Here is a 26,563-nt window from a genome sequence, read left to right as displayed (position 1 = left end):
AACATCTGCCTCCTAGCATCCAAGGCTCCAGTGGGTCTATTCTGCACTGTCTCTGCTTTTCAAGACATAAAAGTACACTGTTTCCTATTATCATTGTTGCTATTGGTAAAAATTTCCATTCAGATCATCCCCCCAAAGCACAAGCCACTCCAGTAAGAATTTAAAACACCTCTGCCTGAACCCAGTCTCTTCTACATCAAACTCTGAGTCAAACAAGACACTTAACAGGAATTCATTATCCAAGAGCAGGCACTGAAATTTTGACACTTTGCAGCTCTGATGGGGGACACTATTTGTCCCTAAAAAACTGGGAGTGAGTTAAGATCACTGGGCCAATACCATGTTTATCTCCATGCTGCCAAACCACACAAACCAGAGTTCAGGAAAACAGTACCTGATCAATGCTAAATCAGCTGTCTTCAAGCAGATATTCCTTAGACAACGATGGAAGACAAGGAGGCAGAATTAGTATAAAGGCCAATGCTCAACAAAAGCATTATACCAGGGGTCAGTAAACATAACCTGGCCTTTCTGTGCAGCCTATAAGCTGAAAATGGTTTTTGTGTTTTTTAATGGTTTGAAAGAAAATCAAAAGAACAATATTTGGAGATGTGAAAACTTTATGAAATTCAGATTTCAGCATTTGAAAATAAAGTTTCATTGAAACACAGCCACATCCATTCATTCAGGCAGTTAGTGTATACGTTTAATTTCAGCTACAATGGCAGAGTTGAATAGTTGTGACAAAGAGTGCCTGGTCCACAAATCTCAATATTTGCTTACATATTTATCATTTGGCCCTTTATAGAAAATCAAGTATCCTGGCCCCTGCATTATACTTTTTAAATTCCTCTTTCACTTACCAAAGGAAACAGAGCACTACCTAAAATTCCAGCACTACCACTGGAACAACCCAGCAGTCCAGATGGGCAGCCTGTCCAGCAGTGAAAGGCTGGCTGGGTCTCCGAAGAAAAGTGGCCATATTCATCTTTCTATTTCCAATAGCTGGCACACAATAGGTATTTAATAAATGTGTTTTGTTGAACTGCTGATGAACATAAGCATTACGACGGCTGCAAAACAAAACTCACCACACAGGGTTTACCAACACACCCACCCCCTCCAAATTTCCACCTGCTCACTTTTTGAAACCACAAGACACCACAGAGAGTGAAATAAAAATCACTCATCATTTATATGGAGACCAGCATGTCAAGTACAATTCCCACTGGAATAAACTCTCCAGTTATATTAGGAAGACAATATCCTAGGATGTGACAAAATGGAAAAGATGAGAAGGGGAAAGGCAGAAATGCTACATCTAACAACATGGCTGGCTTAGCTGGATCCCAGCCAACTGGCCCCATCGATCAGATATTCACAGAGCAGCAAGGAAAAAGATGGGAAGAGGCAAGCGTGCCAGCCTTACACTTGGATGCTACTTGGGATTCAGGCAACAGCTGCACACCAGGTAATGCTCCCGCGAGCAGTCAGCTGGGGAAGCGTCGTGCCTCATCCTCACTAAGAGCTCCGGCTGCAGACCAGTCCATGCTATTTGGACAGCCAATTGCCCATGACTAGGCCAGTGTCCAGAGGGTGCTGAGTAACCAGGGAATGCAATAGGGTCATTTGTTCACAACAACTGTCTTGCAAAACTGCAAGGACTCTCCTTATTTTCCAAACCCTGCCCAGCCCACAGATTTGCTGGAACAGCGAGGTTGCTACGAGTCACATAGAACCCCACATCACTATCTTTCAAACAAATGAGGACACTGAGGCCTGTCTCTCTAGAAGTAATGTCCCTAGGCCAAATGAAGGCTATAGCCTAAGACTCTCTCTCTAGCCAACTTCCTTTTTTAACTGGTAAGCCTCAGAAAACCTTCCCCATTCTAAACCATGGCTCAATTCATCTATGTAGTATAAAAGCAGAGAGTCTGCTAAATGGGCAATGCACAGGCAGAAAAGCCACTGCTCACCTGACATTCTAAACAATGCATACTACTCTACCATGGAAACAGCCAGGACTCAGCTCTTGAAACTACACTGTCCTAATTCATGGGCTACAATATCAAATGACTCAAGTATCGGAGACAAGCCAAAATCTGCAAAAGCCCCCTAGCAATGCTAAGAATGCTTCTTTTGAGCCAAGTCTGGTCATCCACAACCTGCAGTCTAGCTAGGCTTTTACACCATTCAACAAGAGAGGGAAGACTGAATGGCTTTCAGCACGCGCGCACACACACACACACACACCCTACCATGGAAACAAAACACCAACAACACTTAAAACAGAGCTGTTTGCTTACACTAATTTTCTAGATCTGCTTCAGTAACATCAATAAAGTATATTCTACCTCTTCAGAGCCATCAGGAAACCAAAAAAATTCTACCACCAAAACAGACAAGATACAGGTTATCATTACATGCATCCCAGAGTGAAGACTAGGTTAAATGGAAGGGAAGAATGTGCGAAACATTTATTTTACACTAGTCCAAACAGACTAGTATAAACTCATCCTTATGATTTTTTATAATACATTTAGTGGTAAAACTTAACCTAAGCTGAAATTATTTGCTGCAAAACAGATGTGAGGTTACTTTAAAGCCCTTATCCTAGTTGGTGTAAATACGAGTTGAATATCCTTAATCCAAAAATCCATAACCTAAAATGATCCAAAATCTGAAACGTTTGGGCATCGACATGACACACGAAGGAAATGTTCATTTAAACATTTCAGATTTTTGGATTAGGGATGCTGAACCAGGAAATATAATGCAAATATTCAAAAATCCAAAAAAATCCAAAACACTTCTGGTCCCAAGCATTTCAGATAAGGAATACTCAACCTGTATTCATATGTTTCATTGAATAAATTTTAATGTGTTTAATTATGGGGTTCCTACCCACAACCCCACTGAGGGTAGTATGTAATTAACATACCACACACGTACCATATAACCTTTCTAAAATTCATAAACTTCTGAATTCAATCCCTAAGGATTTGTGAAAAGAGACTGTGGACCTACATTACCTTAATCTTCCTCAGCATTCCAACCAGTGGTCCAGCTCTGAAACTTTCCACTCATAAGAACCAGCATAGGGAAGACCTACAGATCCTCCAAATCAACCTTCAGCCCTTCTCAATACTTACGCTATGACCTATCTGCAGTCTGTGTAACCCGTTACTGGATGAACAATGAATCTTTACATAACCAAATCAAAATTGCTGTTGCCGTACAAAACTTTGTTTAGGTTAAACTTCACTTACTCGTTTTTTTGTTTGTTTGATTTTGTTTTTGAGACAGGGTCTCATTCTGTCACCCAGGCTAGAGTGCAGTAGCATGATTATGGCTCACTGCAGCCTTCACCTCCTGGGCTCAAATGACCCTCCCACCTCAGGCTTCCAAACAGCTGGGACCAAAGGCACATGCTACCAAGCCTGGCGTCTATGTGTGTGGAAATGCGGTCTCACTATGTTGTCCAAGTTGGTCTAGAATTCCTGGCCTCAACTGATCCTCCCATCTTGGCCTCCCAAATTGTTGGCATTGCAGGCTTGAGCCACTGCACCCAGATTCAACTTCTCATCTGAAGGTTCCCAACTGGAGGCTACACCTACCACTCTACATGTTTGAAGCTGAACTTCTTGTGGTTTCCCAGAGTCTCTTAAACCAGTTCCACCAATTTTTATTAACTTAATTCCTGTCCTCCTGGATTAAAACTTTAAATCTCTATTGATAAATCTACATCCACTAATCTACAACTTAACCATCCCATTCCAAATTTCAGCAATCCACAAACCTTGTTGACTCTTCCCGGTGTGAACGTTCTTGTATCTTTTCCTTCCTTTCCATGTACACTGTCTAATTAAGCCTCTCCACACCTCATTATTAATACCACCAACAGCCTCTTCACCACAGATAAATATTCCTAACATAACACTGTAATCACATCAAATCCCTGCTCAAGAGCCTTCAATGACAGCCCACAGAAGGAAGCCAAAGCTACACCCTTAGGATAGATAGCTTTCAAGACTGTTTCATTTGGGATCCAAGTTACCTTCCAGGCCTATCTTCGTAAGGCTAGAAGTATATCTGAATCAGGAAAGCTTTTAGAAATATATCCCACTTTGGGGATCACTTGAGCCCAGGAGTTCAAGACCAGCCTGGGCAACATGGTGAGACCCCATCTCTACAAAAAATTGCTGGGCTTGGTGGCTCATGCCTATAATCCCAGCTAGTTGGGAGGCTGACGCAGAAAGATCACCTGGGCCTGGGAGTTCAAGGCTGCAGTGAGCCATGATTGCACTACCTGGGTGACAGAGTGAGACCCTGTCTCAAAAAAAAAAAAAAAAAAACGAAAGAAAAAAATACATTAACATATCCATGTCTGCATATCCCCCTCCTACACAGATAATTCTGACTTCATGGGGGGTGCACAGCAGGAATCTGTTTTGTTACTGTTGCTATTTCTTGGTTTTGGGTGTTGTTTCTTTAAAGCTTCTCTGTGAGTCTATACTCAAGGTTTGGAGGCTACTAGTCCAAAAAAACTGTTTACTTCCAGCACCCACATAGGCCTGCACCTTCCATTCAGCTACCCTTCAAGACCTGCTTGAATGTCATTTCTTCTACTAAACCACCCTGTTCCACCCCATCCTGAAACACTTTCTCCTGCCTCTTAACAATTACAGCAGTTTCTAACAGACCAATTCATGTAGTTTTGTTCACTTTCTACTGAAGTAGGAATATGATTTCTAATGCGTATTTTCTTCTTACTTTTAAAAACATTTTGTGTGTTTAAGCTTATTGCTCAGTTAGGTTATAAATTCCTTTAGGGGAAGAAGAAATATTTCATCTCTTTCCTACTCTCACCAGATACTTAGTCCAATTCTCACTCATACTATTAGGGTATCTTGATTTTAAAATTACATCAGATTAATGATGCAATTCCGATCCAGACAATCAGACTTCATGACTACCAATTCAGACACACAACTACCAGCATACACCTGATTAATCTGATTCCGATCCAGAACCCAAAGGGGGATGAGCGTGTTCTGAAAGGACAGTACCTTGTACACAAGCATCCTAGGAAAAAGTGAAAGACCCAGTCTGGGTAAGCATACTATGGTATCACCGTTTGTGTGGAATCAAAAGGCAGGAAACAAGCTGTCAAGAGGAAGATACAGGAGACAAGGCCAGGCAAGCAAAACAAAGAATCACAGGCACAGTGGAGACAACATGGAATGATTCCCGTGAGTGTTAGATTCTCACTTCAATATCCTATTTTCATGCAAGTTTGTGTTTCCACTGGGCCAGAAACAAGGTGAACACTGACTTGGCCAGTTGGTAACCAAACATAAAAGAAAGACAGAAACAAACCAAGATGTTCTTGATCCAAAGCAATAACACATACATGGAGTAAAAGGGGTGGGAAGGGGGAACATTGACTACATTTGAGCCATCATCATACACAAACATACTAATCCTACAAGGATCAAGAAACCCTGTTCTCCCTTGTTGTCTTCTATAGTCTGTCCCTACACTAGACAAATAAAAAGCAAAGGAGGGAGAGAAAACCCAAGTAAGTGACAATACGACATGGTGACATTGACAATGGAAAGGCAAAAGTCACCTTTAGCTAAAGCACTGCTAAAAATTATTATAGTGGCATGTCCTGAAAAATTAATTCTTTAAGAAAATACCATGCTGTGGGCCTATACATGCAAGAGTCATTTCCTTAAAGCACTGATGTTCAGTCTTGTCAAATATGTCACAACCAGGTGCTGATAACTCCTGTCAGTAGAAAAAAACAATTTTTTCTAAAGGATCTTCCAGGCTGGACATGAAGTTTTTGGATTATCTGACTCCAATTTTCCTTCAAGACTGTAGCTAGAAAAATCATTCTTATCCAGAGAACTCATCCTCACAGAAAGGTCCTTCAATACCCAATGCCAATTCCTTGCAATACCATCTGAACCTTGAATAAAAACAATATAAAGCAGAAGCAGAAAGTACTTCAAGTCCATGATTCCTCAGAGAGACAAGGGCAGGAATTGCATAGGCAATCCCACACTCAACAGAGTCCTTTCCACAGCCACATGTGCTATTTATATCCAAACCATAGGATCCAGGGCCTTTGACAATTCATTTAATGATAGGGCACACCAGCGTCTCTATAATTTTCAAAGGAACAGAGATGTTTGTCACTTTGAAGAACTTGGTCGACCTGGAAAGTAGCCCTGCAAATCACATTTTTCCTTCATTTCTACATACAAATTCTAACTCTTCCACCCAAGCAACAACCTCCCTATACACAAGCAAAACATCTCATGCATGCTGAATGCAAAGGCATTTATTCTCAATTATCCCCAATGTAAGCTTTTTAAAAAATTAATAACAATAACAACAACGAGAAAACCAAAATGTGCTAGTAAAAAACACCTTGCCTCCAAGTTATACTGAATACAAACATTACTAGCATATGCTGACTACTTAAATGGCTAAGACTGAATGCTAGCAGCCTTACTTAGTCATATCTGCAGCTCACTACCATATGCTCAAAGTGGCCAGTCAGTGCTATGGACTGAAGGGGACCAGAGACTAGGCATCACATAAGCCAGGTATAAATAGGTATTTATACCTACAAAGGCCAGACATCAGTTTTCTAGCCTAAGACACCACCATACTCAAAAGATGAATGTTCATAGGAAGAAGGAATTAGTAAGAAAAGGCCGCCCACATAAAGCCAATCAAAATATCTCCCAATGAAATAAGGCACAGAAAATTGGAAAAGAGGGACATTTTCACCATACCAGCAGGATGCCTGTGGCGTTTCCATTCTTCCTTTCCTTCTCTAATGCCCTCCTCTGATGAGTCTGTGACATTACTAAAAGATTTCTCATTTAAGCATTCATTGGTTCCTGCTATTCACTCCCACCTCAAATCATAATCCCTGGAGTTTGAGGCTCAACAACAGTTGTTATGGAAATGAATGTAAGGACACATGAGCTAGGGTTGAAAATGCTGGTGTAGCGGGCAAGAAAGCAGAATGAAATCTTCAAGCTTGCTTCTGTAAGAGAATTAAGACCTCTGCCTGTTGCTATAAGATAATGATTACAGTCAAAGCTATCTATTTTTTAAAAGAACTTCTAAAATTACAATGTATCATACTGGCAGGCAGAGACTATGCTATGAAATAAAGTAAAAAAGGAGTTCTAAGATGACCATTCCCTTCAGGTACTCCCTACCGTTTCCCTACAGGTGCTTATAGGCAACACACAACACTGACACACACAAGTCACATCTGTGTGTGTCCTGTGACAGTGTTCTGTGTTGTCAAAAATCTGAACTGTGACACACACAGGTCACAGCTTCCTCAGCAGATAAAGGAGCTGACTACCCCAAAATGGATTCAAAGGTTTCTAAACTCACAATAAGCAGTGTAAGCAACCAGGCAGAGGGCAGCTGAAGTTAGGGCCTCTGTTGGAGATGCCTTGGCATGATCGCTACACCTCAACGATACACACCCTTAAATGGCCCAGGCCACCCAGGACTATTGTTTATAGTCAGTATTCAATCAGACTACACAAGGTTTTGGAAGTTCAGGGGAAGGGGTTCACAAACTTACTAAGTCTATGATCAAGCCACTCAGTGATGAAAAGAAAATAAAATCACTTTTAAGTAACTTTGTGGTAGCCCTTAGCAAAAGAGCAGGAAGCTTGTACCAGTCATAACCTCACACAAAGTCATATGCACCTAATCTGATCTCACTTTCCCCTGGTGCTAACAAGGTGTCTCGCTATCATCATTAGTCACTGATGGCATGCTATGGTAGGCATTTTAATCAGGGAAGATTCTGGTAACCCAAGCAGTAGAATTCTGAAAATAAAAAACAGCAAGATTCTTAAAGCTGTTTACAAAACAAACAAACAAAAAAATCTGAATCAAGTCCCTTGTTTCCATCCTTTTCCCAGTTGTCACACAGTTGAGTAGTCATGCGTCACATAATGACATTTCAGTCAATAATGAACCACTTATACAACGGTGGTCCCATAAAATTTACTGTACCTTTTCTATGTTTAGATACACAAATACCACTGTGTTACAACTGCCTACAGTATTCAGCACTGCAACATGCTGTACAGGTTTACAGCCTGGAGCAACAGGCTATACCATATTGCCTAGGTGTGTAGTAAGCCATACTACCTAGGTTTGTGTGAGTATGCACTATGACACTTGTGCGTCAAAATCACCTAATGACCCACTTCTCAAGAACGTATCCCCATCGTTGGGCAATGCATAACTGTATCTCTTCCCATGAGTATCTTTCTACTTACCAAGGATGTTTATAGAATTCAGGGTATTATTTTTATAGTTTAAGGTTCTTGGAATTAAACTTCCTATCAGTTTATGAATGTAACAGAAGTTTTAAAAGGGAAACCTTGCTCAGGCATTATGTAATTTGCAAGATGCAAGTTAGACAATACTTAGAATAATCAGTTGCAGTCGTGTTCATCTCAGAGTTTGCTCCAAGCAGCAATCTAAACATTCAGGGGAGTTGTGGGTGTGTCTTTACAAACAGGAGTATTTGTTGTATCTCTAAACTCTTCCTTCCCTCTATTTGCACTCCTCCAAAATCATTTCCCTTTTTGCACCTGTATTTCTGCATTTAGGGCAAAAGGACCAAGATTAAAGGTTATCATCTGACAAGGGACTTTAGCAAGTACATTATCTTTTTGAACACAAAAAAGGGAAAATATGATCATACATAGGTGATTCCTTTGAGAAAAAGCATAGGGCAGCTAAGAAGAAATGAGCATATCATCATGTAATGACAGCCCAGTTCAAAATGTCTCTTATACAGAATAGGCCAAGAAACACAGAAATAAGTGCCCAATCAGGCAACAGCATTTACTTCCACCCACTGTACATGCAACAACTTCAACCTTGGTGTTGTATGGATACAAGAATAAAAACTGTGACGTACCTAGCGAGTAAATGTTTCATTATAAAGTACCCTGCTTTTTAAAATAAAACAGTCACAGTATATATACACAAAGGGAAGTATACATAAGCAGGTCATCTGGGTGGTCTCTAAGCCGACCCAAAAACGGCAAATTGAATGAAAAGAACATGGAAGAAACGGGGGGGAAAAAAATTAAAAACCAGGAGCCTAAATATATTTAGCACACCTTCAATATCTATTAATTATAAATATAGATCTTCCCTAAATCAGTGTTAATTGCAAAGGGAATATTCATGATCGCTTTGCTAAATAAACAGATGTTTGACTAAACTTACAACTTAATCATCATCATGAAAGATATATTATAATCTACTATCATTAAAAATCACATACAAACAATTTAAAAGAGATTTTTACAGCAACTCTAGGTTCTTCATTAGAACTAGCATCATTACACATTTGAAAAATATTTGTATCTATGTGTAGTTTACATGCCCGTCGATAAAATACAGGTGGAAGGCCTGGGAAGCAGAATGTGATGTCACCAGCAGATAAGACTTCTACCATAGCCATGATTGCCTTGGCCAATTTCAACAGGAAAAATACTCAGAATTACAATATGCTCAAACTGTGAAATAACCCAAGCCTGATAGGCGTACATAGTTTAAGCCAAAAACATTCCCCTTATAACACACGCATACATACACACAACCACTTTCTTCCAAGAGCCAGAAACCATGAACTTCCTCCTAAGGAATAAGGTGACCATCTCAAGTTCACCATCAACACTAGCACCTTCAGACTTACTGAATCCAATCACTTTAAAACACAGCTTCAATGCTTTTTCAAAAACAACTTTCAGAAGGGACAGGTTATAAAGATGACAATGAGGACAGAGGAGGGAAGAGAAGGAGAGAGAGGGTGGTGACCTTTAAATGTAGTGCTACCAAAACGTTGGGGGCTATTTTGCTAGAAAGTAAAAGCATCACCTTCCTCCCTGACATCAGAGCAGTGACAGTAAATGTTTGCTGACATTCAGCAAAATGACAAGGGCTGCCTGAGGAGAAGCCTTCACAAAATGTCTAGGTAAGAGGCAAAGAAAGCTTCAAGGGAAAACACCTTGCACACCGAGGTTCCCACAGACTGTAGAGGAATCTCTTCAAATTGAAAACATTCAAACATGTACCTAATGACCAACACCTGGCAGGTTTGTGGGATTTGGACACTCTTACAATTTAGTTCCATCCCTTGTAACAGGCTCACCATCAATTTCCACCAAAAAAGTTAAGTTTGTTTGTCTGGGTAGGAGATTGGCTTCTACAACAATGGGGATGGCAAAAGAGTTTACAAGGAGAAAACAGAGACAAAAATTCCTGAAGCAAGAATAAAATGGGGGTGGGGGGTTAACATGTTAGTTACCTCCATAACTGTGCCCAGTGATAAACAGTCTCTGCATGCCCTGTACTTTGGTTTCTACCTCACAACAGATAAACCAGGAACACCACTAGAATCCAAGTGGTAAAGAACAAGTCAAAGGGGATTTCTTTCTCCTTTGAATGCCCACACCACTTGGGGTGTGTCCCTCTTGCATCTTATCATAAGCTGCCTTGATTAGCATGTGCTTGAGTTATTCCCACCACCACACAGTAGGGGCTTCATCTTGCATACCTTTGTGCCCCTCCTCATGCCTAACACAACACTCAGAGGAAAGAAAGACGAAGAAACCACCCGATGAACTAAACTTTTAGAAAATGACTACACAGTTAAAACATTCCCATGGGCCATTCTTTGTGGAGCACTTTCACACAAGAAAAGGTACATGGTACTTGCCGCCATCCCACTACCCACCCGCCCATATCTTCTACCCTATTAGTATGACAGACAGGCATTAATAGGAAGTTTTTCCTACTCTAGATTTTTAAAAAGGAAAAAAAAAAGTATTGCAGGAAAAACGAAGGTGAGTAGGGTTCAGTGGATCTGGAATAATAATTCTCCAAAGAAGTCATCCAACAGGGAGGTTTCCGGCCTCTTCAGAATGTGAGTTACTATCTCTAGTGACCCTCAGGGAGAGTGACAGTTGCAGAGGCTCAAAGCTACTGAAAATGACACTAATTCTGCCCTTTGGTGACACCACAATGGAAAATGAGAAATACCCTTTAATTTGATGCAATTTAAACATCAGCCAGAGACACATCTTGGTGGCACAAGTTGTCCTCTCGACTCATCAGTTCTGGCTTGGATCAGCCCAGTGTTCATGCAGACTTTCACACTAATGCTAACATTACAACATCCTTCTTCTAAGAATACCTAGGCCCAGCTACCAGCTGCCCATCAAGTAGATCTCTTCACTAAGGATTAGAAAGAACACCTTTCTGAAGTCCCTGCAAGACTTACCTTCTGGCTAAGAAAAGCTAGATTGTAAATCTTAATGCTCGGTTACCAGAAAGGCATTCTGGGAAACTGTCCAACCTGATAGGGACAGCATTCAAGTTGAGAACAATTGAGAACAATGTAACAGAGCCCAGCAATTTCAGGGTATTAGATTTAATAACAAGGAAACCCTTACCTCACTCTCGGGAAACACTGAGGGGATTAACAATAAGACTTTTAAGGAGATCTGAGCTACCCCAAAAGAACACTAAATAAGCATATAGTGTCATCATTTATTAAAAGCAAAGTTCAAATAGAGGAATCTACTGTGTTCCATTCTAACAAGTGGGCCTTTTAAAGTCACCTGCAGAAGTGAAATGATTAGGTCTCCTAAGGGCCATAACAGGTACACAACGGAAGGCAATGTTAGCAAAGAGTGAGGAAGGAGGAGAAAGGGCTAGTAGAGAAGCACCTCACCAAGCAACAGTCAACACAGGGGCTTGCAAGCCTCTTTCAGAATTAGAGTCACCTGCGGTACAACAAGGCCTGCACTCCACTCCCAGAGATTTGCTTTAATTATTTTAGTTGAGGCCTGGGCAGTGGTTGTTTTATTTTGTTCTCAAGTTCCCCCAGGCGATTTTAAGGTAAAAGAACAAGTACACAAACAAAAAACAAACAGGTAAAGGACAAAGGGGGAAAAGGGCATTTCAAGGAGCCATCTTATAAAATCACATTCAATATTTAAGAGTCATTTTAGATTTTACTTCTTGAGAAAGTTAATTATATATAAGGCAAATCAAGCCTGGAATGAAATTTACCCACCTAAGTATCCTGATTATGTTACAGGTATTCTTACGGGAGAATAAAAGTTTCCCAGGTAAGTTTCATAAATCAGGCCACATTATGGCTCTTAAGGAAACTACTGGCACAAACTATAGGACAGAGAAGAGAAGTCAGACACTATTATTATGTTAATGGTTTTCTCTCCCTACTTCCAGAGGAGACAGAGAAGTAATAAACCTTTTCAAGGAAAGAGCTTTCCAGATGGGAAATATTTAAACTCATCGTTAAAGAAATGAGTGGCTATGACATCTTTATTATGGAATAAGTAAAAATTCTCCAAAGTGTAAAAGAATATGATTACTTTATATAAGTCTTAAAGCAGGCTAAACAACATCTGCATCTATAAGATTTGATTTGGTTTTGATGTCATCACTTTCAAGCTTAAGACTCCCATCCAGAATCAATCTCACCAGATTTCCACTTCTACCACAGACACCCAGGACACACTAAAAAGTGGTTCTCAATCCTAGCTGCACATCAGAAGCATCTGAGGAGCTTTGGAAGGTGGAGGGAAGAAAAGCTACTAGACCACCCCCCACCCCCTTGGAAATTCTGATTCAGTAGACCTGGGGCATGTACACTAATTAAGAGCTACCTGGGTGATTTCTGATGTGCAGACTGGGGTTGAGAGCTGCATTAAAAGCATCTATTCTTAACATTTTTCCTCTGCATTATTCTGCTGATTGAGCCATGTTGCTACAGAGTCAGACCCAAAGCAGGCAATAATCGGTTCTGCTGCTTGATACACAGATGAGTTGCTGTGATTCTTTGGGGACTCTAATTTTGTGGAGTTGAGACACTGATGAGTTCATGGCTTTGTTTCTCATTAGTCTTTTATTTCATTCCAAGTTGTGTGTGCTTTTTATTCCAAATCAACACATGAAAAATAAACGCTTAAAAAAATACCCAAGCTACTTGCTAAAGAAAATGGCTTTTTTACAAACCTTATCCATTCAATAGATGCCTAATGAATAAAAGAAAGGTAGTCCACACAAACACACACACAGCCAGACATGTGTCCATTACAAACAAATATAGCCAGTTACCCTTACAGCAGGAGAGGTTACAGAAAACTGTTTTGCCCTGAACCTTAAAACAACACCTAGAATCTGTGCTTGCAGGCAGCGAGAATTTAATCATGGACAGCAACCTGAGCACAGACTTAGCAAGGGCGAATCTGCCAGCCAGAAGTGCAACTGTTTATGCTGGCAATAAGAAAGGGGAGAAGAGAACAAGCATTGTGCATAGGATGTCTCTCCACTCAGAGGCTCTCTTCTAGTCAACCTTTTACCACCATGACTTTAAGACTTGGGCCAAAAGAATTTCCAGAGACCACATATCAGAGACCACTCTCATCAGCCCCTGCCTGATTCCTTGTCCAGACAGAGGCAGGTGCTAAAGAATGTCTGAAGCACCTTGGCCAGCAATTTAACCATGTACTAAACCCTCAGACCTAGGACAAGAAATAGGCTTCCAGGGCAAGAGGACCAAGTCCAACTTGGAATGTGGCATTTTACTTCTACATCTCTTCCATGGCTGTCCCTGGGAATCAGGAGTCAGGATGCTGAGTCTTAGCTACTAATGCACCATATGCCCTAAAATGAGTTACACTCTCCCCTGGTGGGCATTTTGGTTGGATTTATTACCACCCACCCAGGGGACAGAACAGCTAGAGGCTTCATTAAAGCTAAGAAAGCTCCAAGTAATCCTTGAGGATGCAGGCCAGGGGAGGGCAGAAGATTATCACCAAAGAAATCATGATGGTTGTCTGGGCCTCAGAAAGCACCCAGCACTAGGGAGAAGCAAGTTATTAAAAAAGACAATAAAATAAATAAATCAGCCTTCTGGGTTCACATAAATATTTCACTAATCAGTAAAAGGACAGTAAAGGGCATATAGAAAGAGCGCCTAACATTTAATGGGATTTGGGTAAAAATATTATACTTTCCAAAAGCTACTCAAGTGTGACAGGAAGTCTACAAGCTAAAATTACTTTTTCAAATGACCAAGATACTAATTTATTCTTCAGAACCACAGGGAAGGACCTATACAAATGACACAGTATCACTGAATGATCACCAGCCCTGAACCCATTCTTTCTCTTACTGAAACTGCAGACACATTTCAGCACAAACCCACTGCTCTGTTTCATCAGAACTGAACCAGAGGGAGCCAATGTCGCTCCAAGCTACACACCTGTGCACAAATTAAAATATCTCCACTCACACTTCCTGTGCATCACACAAACACACCCTGCAAGTGTCCTTCCAAAGCCCTCTACTGGCTCGTAAGGCTAGCTCTCCAGAGCCAGAAAGAGAGGAACAGGGGGAAAGTATTCAAGTGGAGGCAGGAAGGTAGGAAGAATGAGTGGGAGACCACCCTGGAGGGTCATACAGGGTGACCCCCTAAAGCAAGCCAGAAACTGGTAACTTAGCTCTTACCTCCCCCATCCTCCCCTGGTCTCCTAGGTTCCCTGGAGCCTGTTTATCTGAAGAGATGATCCTCTCTGAGAGGAAGAGAGTTAAGAAAAAGACCTCAGGGAAAAAGCAGCAAACAGATGCAACTTTCATTTGGGTCTTCTCCCCTCCTACCAATGGACTTCTCCCAGATAAACACGTTAGCCTTAAAAAAACAACTTTCAGGGCCGGAAGCACTGGCCCACACCTGTAATCCCAGCACTTTGGGAGTCTGAGGCCGGTGGATCACCTGAGGTCAGGAGTTCAAGACCAGCCTGGCCAACGTGGTGAAACCCCTCTCTACTAAAAATGCAAAAAATTAGACAAGCGTGGTGGCAGGTGCCTGTAATACCAGTTACTTAGGAGGCTGAGGCAAGAGAATCGATTGAACCTGGGAGGTTGCAGTGAGCCGAGATCGCGCCATTGCACTCCAGCCTGGGCAACAAGAGCAAAACTCCATCTCAAAAAAAAAAAAAAAGAAAAAAAAAAAAGAAACACCTTTTAGGAAGGCCAGAGCGAGACTTCCAGTGGCTAAGAGAATGCACTAGGAGTAATCAATGTACCTACCAGTCCTTGGGGGTGGGAGGAGAAGCTGCCCACAGTGAGAAAGGACACATGAAAAATAATTAGAGAAGATACAAAGCTGAACATGTGAACACTCTAGAGGATCTGAGAGTGTTTTCTCATAATGCCATATACATGCTAACCATATAGAGTTATAGTCACTTCTGGGTTGGATTACTGTAACATTCTCTATGCTTTCCAGGCATCAAACCAGAATATTAAGCCAGTAAAAAATGAGCAGCTCAATTGTTGAGTGACATGGAACACAGACAGTACACTGTCCCTGGGTCTGCATTTGTCAATGGCTGCCCTCTTGCCTTAAAGTGTATTTGAGATGCGGACTCTAGGTTATACAGGTTGAGTATCCCTAATCCAAAAATCAAAATGCTCAACTGCTGAAACTCTTTGAATGCCAACATAATACTCAAAAGAAATACTCATGGGAACATTTCAGATTTCAGATTTTCCTACTAGGGATCCTCATCTAGTGAGCACATTCAAATACTCCAAAATCCAAAATCCGAATCACTTCTGGTCCCAACCACTTTAGACAGGGGATACTAAACCTGTAGAGATCTCAACAATGTGAGCCATAACCCCCCTATACATACCATACCACTTCTTTGAGACACAGTCTCATTCTTATCGCCCAGGCTGGAGTGCAATGTTGTGATCTCGGCTCCCTGCAACCTCTGCCTCCCAGGTTCAAGCGATTCTCCTGTCTCAGCCTCCCAAGTAGCTAGGATTACAGGTGCCCGCCACCACACCCAGCTAATTTTCGTATTTTCAGTAGAGATGGCGTTTCGCCATGTTGGCCAGGCTGGTCTCAAACTCCTGACCTCAGGTGATCCACCTGCCTTGGCCTCCCAAAGTGCTGGGATTACAAGCATGAGCCACCATGCCCTGCCACCATACCACTTCTTGAGAACAAACAAGACTAGGTTGACAGTACTCAGACTTCACGCACAGTAGACAGAACAGCTGGGGAGAACCCTCATTTGTCTGATTTCCTGCCAACCCTGAACTGGCAGCATCATCCTCCTCAAGGTCAGGGTGTGGTATATTTCTTTAGCAACAGTGATTTTAATTATCTACTGGTCACTTATGCTCTTATATTTTAATTACATATAATTGCTTTACATACACTTACTTGGGGGTGACTGTTTTTATCACAATAGGGGGCAATTTAATAATCTGTAATGTAATTGTGCAAATACTCACAAGTGCACTGTAGAAGTACCCGACAGAGCAGCTTATCGGCCAAAACAAGTAAATACTGCAGGCTGCATGCATGAAGCTGCCACGGGAGCCTTTGTGTTCCCATAAAACATCTCACCGGTTCCCAGCCAGGGCAACAGAAAAGAGCAGTGGTCCCCAGGAGAAGATGTACCTATCCACTCTACCCTTTATTTCAGAAGCAGCAAGTTCAGCTGTTTGGGGGGATGGGCATTCTGGCAACAAAACACAAAGGGCCTGGATCACAGCCTGCTTCTAAATAACACAAATAGATAAGGAATTAGGTGATTAGAGAGTGTACTGCCAGCAGGACTAAATATCAGCCCCTCTGGGAACATGTATCTGTGGTACAAACCGCATACATTGTACGACAGCACAACTTACCTAAGAGCTACCTCTGATCTGAACAGACCGTTTAATGCTTTGTACTTCAAGGCAAATTTTCATTTTAAGAACAAAGATATAATCATAAAAATTGGAAATAACTGATATATCCAAAAATAGGTGAAAGCTGGTTAAATTATGACACGTCCACATTAACAACTGCATAGCCATTAAAAATCATGTTTCAGGAAATTATTTAAAGGCCAGAAGAAATTCTCAGTTATAAAACATGAACAGAGAAGCTAGTGAGAAGGCCTTGCGATTATTAACAGTTGTGATGTTGCCTCTGGGCAGTTAAATTTAAGTAATTTGTATTTTCTTCTTTAAATTTTCCCAAATTTATAAAGTGATTATGTCACATTTATAATCAGGAAAATTTCTAGGGCAGAGAAGATGAAAGCAGAAACGCAAGCCATCTATCTATTGGGGTTAATGTGTGAAAATAATGAATGAAAATTAAATTGACAATGAACTATTTAGAAGCAGGTACTCTCAGGGCTCAGAAACTGTACAAAAATGACTAGTATTGAGACTCTATTAAAAAGGGAGAATTCAGTCTCTGCACAGAGTTGGCCTCACTCTTTTAAACCATGAGATCATTGCCAGGAAAACTTCAGAAAGGAGACAAGACAATTTAAAAGATACAGGTCAGGCTGGGCACGGTGGCCCACACCTGTAATCCCAGCACTTTGGGAGGCTGGGGCGGGCGGGGGATCACCTGAGGTCAGGAGTTTGAGACCAGCCTGGTCAACACAGTGAAACCCCATCTCTACTAAAAATACAAAAATTAGCCAGGCATAGTGGCACATGCCTGTAATCCCAGCTAGTTGGGAGGCTGAGGCACGAGAATCACTTGAACCCGGGAGGTGGAAGTTGCAGTGAGCCAAGATCGTGCCACTGCACTCCAGCCTGGGCAACAGAGTGAGACTCTGTCTCCAAAAAAACAACAACAACAACAAAAAAAAACAGGTCACCCTTTAGAAAAGTTACAGCCTCTTTTTTTTAAATTAAAGGTATATTTTTCTTTTTTATAGAGATGGGGGTCTCACTATGTTGCCAGGGCTGGCCTGGAACTCCTAGCCTGAAGCAATCCTCCTCTCTCGGCCTCCCAAAGTGCTAGGATTACAGGCATGAGCCACCATGCCCAGCCCTAGAGCCTCTCTTGATATAAATTATGGTGCCTCCAAAAGTGGTTGTAGGAAATATTTTCATTTGTAAAAATATGTTAAAATAAGAAAGCACGTGTTACAGTAACAAAGACAGCCAGTTACAGCTTCTGGTAGATAGTGGAAATCCTGAAAAACAGGAGCTTAGGAAGAAGTCCACTCAATACTAAGGAGAAGACCACCAACCCACCCAACCAACCTCCAGGTCCAGGTGGCACTTTTGGAGGCAATTCGAATCCTGGTTCCTCCACTTACCAGAGAAGGAACCCTGAGCAAGTTGTCATTATTCTCCCAAGGACGGGGTAGAGGAGTCAACAAAATAGTGCATGCCCAGCACCTCACGCTCTACCTGGGCCAGGCACATACTCAGGGTCACCTCAGTTTTCCTCAGTATCCAGCAACCTCCTTTACTCAGACTCTGTAAATAATAAGCAAACTTCCTCCACAAAAAGAATGCCCTTGGCCCATCAAAATATTCTGGTCTGTCTGGCAGCTGGAAATTGCATCATAAATTAATAAACCCAAAACTGACTTTTAAATCACATCTGTGCATTTATTTAGCATAAATCAGATAATTAGTCTAACAGACAGCATTTCTCATCCTGTAATGCTCAGAGCTGAGTCCTGAAAAGAACTCGGCAGAAGACTACTGTAAGGCCTCAGAACAAGGACAAGATTTCCTCCGTCAGTCCTAACACAGATCGTCCGCTAACACTAAACCTGCACACTGTGTTAGGGTGCCAGTCACAGTTCAGAAGGTGCTTGAGGATTTTGCTGTGCTGTATCCTGAACCGCCATCAAGCTCCTACGTTCTCTCTATGTACCATAAAGCACCTGTATTTTCTTCCAACCATTTGAGGGCTGCCTGCACACGCTGGAGGCAAGCACGTTCTTTAACCTGCATCCTTTTCTCTGCCTTACCGAGTTCAGCTAATATAATTGCACATGAGGTGTGACCCCAGATCTAACAAGGCACCACTTCATAAACCTTTTCTCTTTTTATCATGACGTAAAATTCAACCTGAAACTGTAAATAGCAGGCCCCACCTAAACATCAGCTCAAATAGTATGTTATAAACCCTAAGAAACTCTACTATTCCCTAGAGAACTCTGTTCTCTGAAGCAGATAAATTTCTTCAGGCAGAACTCTTATATCTCCTTTCACTGGAATCCTCAGGAGATGTTCTAAGCTAAGAGGGACATGTCTGCTTAGCATCTGGCTCTGAGACCTGGAGCGGGGAATCTCACACAGGAAATTGCAGAGATATTACTGCACTAAAGTCTGGCTCAGAAAAGAAAAATTGCATTGTCAGAGACGAAAATCCTGGAGATAGAGCTTTAGTAAGCCCACACTCTTCCATTGGTAAGAGCAACAATCTAGAACGGTGGTTCTCAAGCTGAAGTGCAGTAGAGATACCTGGCAATTGTGAAAAATGAACATTCCGATCAGAGATTTTAACACAAGTAGCTTATGAACTACATCTTAAGAAAAACTGATCTGGCCTCTACTCTAGGGGAAAAGCTCAACTAGATTTCACCATGAGAGTCAACAGGGCATGCACCTGTGCCTCTCAGCTAGGGCTTAGAGGGAGGGGAGGGAGAGAAACCATGAAAAGAAGGGCAGTGGCAGTCAGTGGCAGGCCCCAAATACACAATGCGACTCTGCTGTGCAATCAAAATATATGGCATCAACAGAAATCCACTTAATCTTTGTCCTCAGAGCAGTCCTGTGCAAACCCAGAAGGCTTGGAGCTCGTTTGTAGCAAATGAGAAGCAATAATGTTGGGCAGCCATATTTGCAGTGAATCTATCTAACAGTTAACAATCAAATGATTTGCCCTTGTAAAACTTTGCATCAGGGGATACCTTAGAACCATATATATGGACATAATTTCCCTAGCAGGGAAGGGGACCTAGGTAAAAGACAGATGTACCAAAGTCAAACTGCAGCCAGAAATAACAAAGAGTCCCTACTCCTCAGCTTCAGAACTGTTCAAAAATCACTTTAGGGACACCATGATCACTGAAAGATATACAAAGCATGGGGATGGGAGAGTCAAAACTGCTTCCTTAGATTTTACATCTTCCCAGTCCTCTACTGCATTAAGATCAGTAACCTCAAATACCGTGAGGGACTTTCCATCCCTCAATTATCCATGGCAGTAGGTTACAATTAGGCAGAAAATAGAGTCAATGTGGACTTAAGGTAAAGGGAGAAAAGGGGAAATAAAACTAACCTCTTCTTTCCTCACTCCCTTATATTAATCCTGACCAACACCAAGACAGTAATAATGAAGACCAAGCTAGGGGGAGGGAAGAGAGAGAGAGAAAGTTAAAGATGGATGTGAAAAAGGGAATGAGAAAGAAGCTGAAAAAAGTATCTTGAACCACAGCTGTCTAAAGCCTGATTCCTTCCATAGGCATCAAGGAAGTAAATCTTACAGTCTCTAAACAACTGGAGTTTTGAAACCTCCCGCCACTATTTACAAACACCAAAGTTGAAACCTGACATTACAAACAAGCCAGAATGAAGAACACTGTGCCATACCATGAGCATGCAGCATCCACTCGTTTCTGTGATCAGTGAGGTGTCTTCTTGAAATCAATACCTACAAACTACAGATTTAGAGATTTTACCAATTAAGATATAAATTTACTTAACTTCTTCTAGGAGCAGAAGAATATTGGTCTTGCTTAAACTGTACAAATGTAGTTTTCTAGAATATAAAATTGTATTTAATAAGCAGCTTAAATGTGGTTGCTCAAGAAAACTAGAATACAGTTTCGTTGTTGTCCATGTTTTAAAAAGTGACTCAGGTTAAAGATGCCACTCTTTCTGGCTGAACCCAAAGCCAGACAGCTAAAGGGCAGCAGTCAACTTCAACAATGCTAAGCATTCATTTGCAGGCTCATGCAGCATCCAAAGCATAGCACAGAGGATTTTTGAACAACACAAGACAAGGGCATATAAGAACAGCAACATACTCCTTTGTAAGGTCTGCAGGAACAACTAATAGAACGACCAAATTGTGTTGGTCAGAAATGACCTCATCATTCAAACCCAAGTTTACAAATTCCCTCTGCACTCCAAGAGGGAGGGTAGCAGGTAGAAATGGAAGGAACCACAGTGTGGCATGGGGAAGGTAATTCAAAGAAATCCAGATGACAACTAAAGTAGCAGGAGCACATACCTATACTCTTACCATTCAGATACTTCCAGAAATGCTGGCAAGTCAAAACGCAAAAGCAAACAAAGAAACAAACAAAACTTTTGAGAACCATCAGGTGGAGGAAGACAATGTGCTTGGCCAAAAGGGCCGAAGTCTCCAGATCCACCATCTCTGGGGTGGGCACAAAGGCAAAGAGACAGCGTGTTCCCACAGGAGCACACTCCACTGTATTCCTAGATAAAGAGACAAGAGAGAGACATTCAACACCATTAGCTTCTGCCCTGAGAATGCACTTCTTACTGGGTGATGGGGGTGAGAGATGAAAGGTTATAGGATTTTATCACACTGAGTTTCCAGTTTGTCAGGTTCCGTCTACGGTATCAGGTACTCTGGGACTAATTTGTATCTTTTAGGATTGAGACATATCTCTCCAGCAGAGCCCCAGTGACGGTTCTCTACCTGCTAGATTTTATGGATATCTAATAATAACAACAATGGGTCCAAAAGCTGTTATTAACTGGCTTCTCACTGGAGGAGCTTCTGTTCTCCTGAACTCTGACAGTGCTGAGGCTATGCACCTCCGGAAGAAGGGTAACTTGGCAGGCAAACAGGAGTGTCTAGGCTGAAAGAACCAGTCAGTCCTCTGAGGGAAGACTGGGAGGAGTGAGGGAAGGAAGGTAAAGCCAAAAAGCTTTAGGAGAGTGAAGAGGCAGGCAGCCACGGGGCAATCTGCGAAGGAAGGACAGAGCCTGGCTCAAGCAGCTGTGAGGAACCCTGCATGTTTTCCTGAGGAAAACGTTGAGCCGGCTACGTTGAAAGGAACAGCTAAGGGCTGGGCTAGCTTCTTTCCCCTTTATAAGAAATAGAAATAAATAAAATAAGCTGCTTTGAGCGATGTCAAGTCTCCCTCCTCTTAAAGTACAAACTGGCCTAATAATCCTGAATGTCCCAATGGCCAAAACCAGCATATGGAACTGTCTGCCAATTCTCCTGTGCAGAGCACAGTGCACTCGCTCACAGCAGCTGCGGTATGAAGTAGAGGAAAGGGGGTCCAACCAGAATCGGGCGGGCAGTGCCCCCACCCATGGCGACCATGCCTCAGGCCAGAAAGAGCCTAAGGGAGACGGGAGGCTGGAAGGGGAGCCCTGGCTACGCAGCTCCTCCCAGACCTCCACCTACCGCTTCCGCATGCCAGTCGTTCTAAAACAAGCCTCTCCAGCTGGAGAAGCAGATGCTGCTAAAGGCAGCTCCATACGAATATGAATGTGGCTTTCTCCTAATTGTGGCCCACCTTACAAAAGACAACAGCATGTGAAAAAAGTCCCGCGTTCCCAGTAGTGATGAGGAACATGTCCTAGGAAAGGCAGAGTGGTAGAATCAGAAAGCCAAGTGTCAGCATATTCTGCCCATCCCTATATCCCCAAACTATGAATAATGAGTAAAGGCCCCCAGTGAGGATGCAATGAGACACTATCTAACACCTGAGTATCAACTATGTGCTAGACATTTAGTTAGCAACAGATCTGAAGAAATGACAAATCTACATGACCCAGAAAAATCAAACTGAGTAGAGAAGGAGAAAAAAATGCAGAAAACAATGAAAAAGTATTTTACAGCAGAACTACAGGCGTCCATCATGTGGGCTATCCAGAACCAGCAGGACAGCAGAGGTAAGCAGATTCTGAGACCAATGTCTGAACACACATAAAGGGGATATTTCTGCTTATCCACACTAATTGCCCAATAAAGTGAAACAAGGATGAAGGCTATTACATCAAGTGGCTTCTAGCAGAGAAATGAAAAGGCAAGGAAGACAAAGTCTCCAGAATGTCTTCACAGCTAAACTGAATAGAGACCCTACTGTGAAACAGCAATACTCCTTGGTGGCCACCAATACACTACTAAACCAGGCAAAGGCATTTGCCAAAAACAGACGGATATCAGAGTAGATGGTGAGACTAAGAGCTGTCCAATGTCAGGCTGGGCGCGGTGGCTCACACCTGTAATCCCAGCACTTTGGGAAGCCGGGGCGGGTGGATCACCTGAGGTCGGAGTTTGAGACCAGCCTAACCAACATGGAGAAACACCATCTCTACTAAAAATACAAAATTAGCTGGATGTGGTGGCTCATGCCTGTAATCCCAGCTACTCGGGAGGCTGAGACAGGAGAATCGCTTGAAGGCAGAGGCAGAGGCAGAGGCTGTGGTGACCCGAGATCGCCACATTGCACTACAGCCTGGGCAACAAGAGCGAGACTTCGTCTCAAATAAATAAATAAATAAAGAGCTGTCCAATGTGAACAGCCCATAAATTGACCGTAGATTTTCAGAGGAAGGCTAAAATGAAAAGTGACATCAAAAATATGCCTAAGCAATTGGCCTGTCATCTGGTAGGGAAATCATTTGTGTCCTTCAGCTTCCCATTCCAGTCTCGGTTATGAAAAGCTTTTTTCTAGAACAGTGACAGAAATGATGCTGCTTCATCCATAATCCATCATCCAGTCTAAAGTCTACCTGGTGACCGACCACAACACACACACATACTTGTCAGGATTAGAGATATGGATCCTAAAATTATAAACACCTTATTCATAAAAATAATTTCCCAGACCTACAGTGCCTAAAGTACACAAGGAACTTAAATGTTTGGTTTCTGAATTGCACAAAATTTTCCCAGTACAAAGCTAATTAGCCCACCAAGGAATGAAACCTACAGCCCAGCCTGCAAAAATGCGAAGCACTGGATGACTGCACTAAACTTGCCTTGAATATAAATGTTATGTAAAAAAAAAAAAAAAAAAAAAAAGTAATTTATCTAAACACAGTGTAGGTAGCTCTGCAATCAGTATCTCATAAATAAAAGAGAAAGATGAAGGGAGAGATCTCTAATTGATTTTAAAATTAGTTCCAAGCAAAGAAATAATCTGACAACCAACAAGGTCGACAACAGTAAAATATATATATATACCCCTCAGTAAAAACTGCAACTATAAACTTCAATGAATCAAGATACCTGAACTACTATGAAAGGAAGATATTCAGAAAAGCCTGAATCAGAGTAGAGGTGCTGAAAGAAAGTCAATTGGGGACCAATCTTCAAAAGCACTTAAAATCCTGAAATTAACCCCTCTGGTGGACTGAACTCAATCTTCACTGTGCTAATGGAATATACATTATGAGGAAAACCACCACACAGAGAGAGGCAGGGCGAGTCAACCCAATGGCAGCAACTAGATTAAAACTGGGAGTGTAGAAGAAGAAGTGCCTACAGAAAACAGCCATGTGTGACCTAGCCAGCAAAACAAGCAATCCAATTAGGAAGCAGTAAAAAACAGGAGTGTAAAACCTCCCTCCGGAGATAGTTAGATACCAGCACATTGGCTCAAGTCAAGATGGCTGTCAGAGCAGTCAAGGGGGTTAGCCATGGATTGGGAGGTGGTAAAAATGATGCCCACTCACAAGCAATATATGGAATTAGGTCTAAGCCTCAGCAGATATTCTGATTCAAACATTTATTAAATGTTTATTTATTCACAGCACTCTGTAAGATTCTGAAAGAAGGGATATGAAGCTGGGAAGACCCTGCCATTCCTGGCCTTGGTAGAGGTGAGACTTCACAATGGAAGGTAGAGATGTACACAAATAAACAGTGCACGATGCTACAGAGAAGGGAAAGATGGTGTGTATGGAAGTCTCTGGCCTAAAGGGGCCTTCAAGAACTAGGTCAAGGAAGAGGGTTACCTCAGCACAGCAAGTACAGTAAATGCTCACAGGGCAGTGAATATGATGGTGCTGACAACTCTGGAAGCAACACAGAATTACTGCAGCTCACGAGACTGAGAAGAGACAAGAAATGTGAACACACCAGCACTAGAAAGATTTAGATAAATTGAAAATGTAGAACTGTGTGATAGTGATGATTAAAGGAAGAGAGAGATATGGATTGATAGAAGTAAATGCACCCAGTTCAGGGATAAACCACCAAGACTAGGAGATTGTTAAAATCCCAAAAAATTATGTGAAGGAGATAAGCAAGATCCTGGGAAAGGGAATATATAACTAAAGGAAATGAAAGAAAATATAATTTGTAATGGGGAGAAGAAAGGAAATCAAAGGGCAACAAGACAGGCACATGCTGTCTTCTCCAGTTTAAAATTCACTTAGAGAGATCAGTGAAATGTGCACTTCAGCAAAGTCTGCTATCTATCCAGATACCAAATGTCTTGACCTCATCAGAAGGAGGCAGGCTTGTACCCCTACTCCATGACCTCTACTGCTGAGGAACAGGTCACAGGGATGTTTTAAGTGTTGGTACCCAGATATTAATCTTAAAAATCAGGACATATATATCCTGGAATCTTAAATAGATGAGCTAAGACCCACCCACAGTCTTCTAATAGTAATTTTTTTCAGTCTTCTAACAAAGAAGATTTCAAGTGTTCTTCTCAAAAATGCCCAGATGAAACAAATTTGAAACTCGTACAGAATGCCTACGCCAGCCTCTAACATATTCCACATCTTTTGATCACATTGCTGCAGTCCCAAAATCTCTCCATTGGAGACTGGTGAAATGCTATATCCATTTCAAAGAGCTTTTGCTTTTCTCCAAGGTCCTTAATGCCAAGCTGGAGTCCCTCTCTAATTTGCTATTTGCCTTATGCTCCCAGTAACAAGCAGGAGATCACAGTGAGTGGGTTTACTGGCCTGCTCCAATTTCACTTAGGGTCTCTAACCCCACAGCTTTCTGTTGGCACGTGTCTCAGAGTCGGCAAAGTCGGCTTGAGGGTCCAGAGGGACCAGTCATTTTGCCTTTACAAATCTAAACTGGAGGGAATAGGTTGAAAATCGCTTTTAATGGCAAAGCACCCCGGAGCCCCTTACAATGAATGGAGTTATCAGTGCCTTACATAACCCTGCCTCTGACAAAAAGCCCTTAAGAATCCCAAGGCATCACTAATAATGCACCTATCTCAGCTCCTCTCTCCCACCTGCCTGCCCTGGAGAGCCAGGCGGGCCAGGTCTGGGAGATGAACTCCCCAAACAAAGGCAACAAGGACACTGGGGGCTTCAGCATATGGCAGCTTTAACAAAACTGATCCTTTAGCACCCGGGTCTGAATATTTGGAGGCCCTGGTGTGAACAAACCTTTATGTGGTAAATAAATTCACAGGGAGGACACTAAAAGACAGGGTGATGGAAATGAATAGAGGCTGGTAGCAGGGGGTGACTACCAGCTGAGGGAAAGACTCCACCTTTGGGTTTCCACACTTCCTTCCCAAAATACTAAGTGGGAGCGCTGGCAGTGGGGGCTGTCAGAGACAGAGAAACAGATACAAAGACAGAGAATGGGAGAGACAGACAGCTAAGAAAAGGAATCTGAGAAAAAGGCCCAGCAACCTAAAGCAAATTT

The 26,563-nt window shown here is 42.0% G+C and overlaps 1 protein-coding gene across 2 annotated transcripts in view, besides 2 other annotated features; it reads right to left on the bottom strand.

Moving 5' to 3' along the window:
- SND1 (staphylococcal nuclease and tudor domain containing 1) overlaps positions 1–26,563 on the bottom strand; it is a 440,400-nt gene that overhangs the window by 339,195 nt on the left and 74,642 nt on the right. The window lies entirely within an intron of this gene.
- Positions 17,758–17,972: a silencer, noted in NCBI's record as "fragment chr7:127375481-127375695 (GRCh37/hg19 assembly coordinates)". NCBI's record gives its function as "represses an EF-1alpha promoter that drives an FKBP-Casp9 reporter gene in an ReSE screen in K562 erythroleukemia cells {active_cell/tissue: K562}" and the evidence as "EXISTENCE:reporter gene assay evidence [ECO:0000049][PMID:32094911]".
- Positions 25,739–26,530: an enhancer, noted in NCBI's record as "OCT4-NANOG-H3K27ac hESC enhancer chr7:127366923-127367714 (GRCh37/hg19 assembly coordinates)". NCBI's record gives its function as "activates a minimal SCP1, AML or CMV promoter by ChIP-STARR-seq in naive H9 embryonic stem cells {active_cell/tissue: H9 hESC(naive)}" and the evidence as "EXISTENCE:reporter gene assay evidence [ECO:0000049][PMID:30033119]".

This window comes from Homo sapiens, chromosome 7, assembly GCF_000001405.40.
Source record: "Homo sapiens chromosome 7, GRCh38.p14 Primary Assembly".
Taxonomy (NCBI): domain Eukaryota; kingdom Metazoa; phylum Chordata; class Mammalia; order Primates; family Hominidae; genus Homo; species Homo sapiens.
The sequence above is the reverse complement of the archived record's forward strand: the minus strand, read 5'-3'. Positions and strand labels throughout refer to the sequence as shown.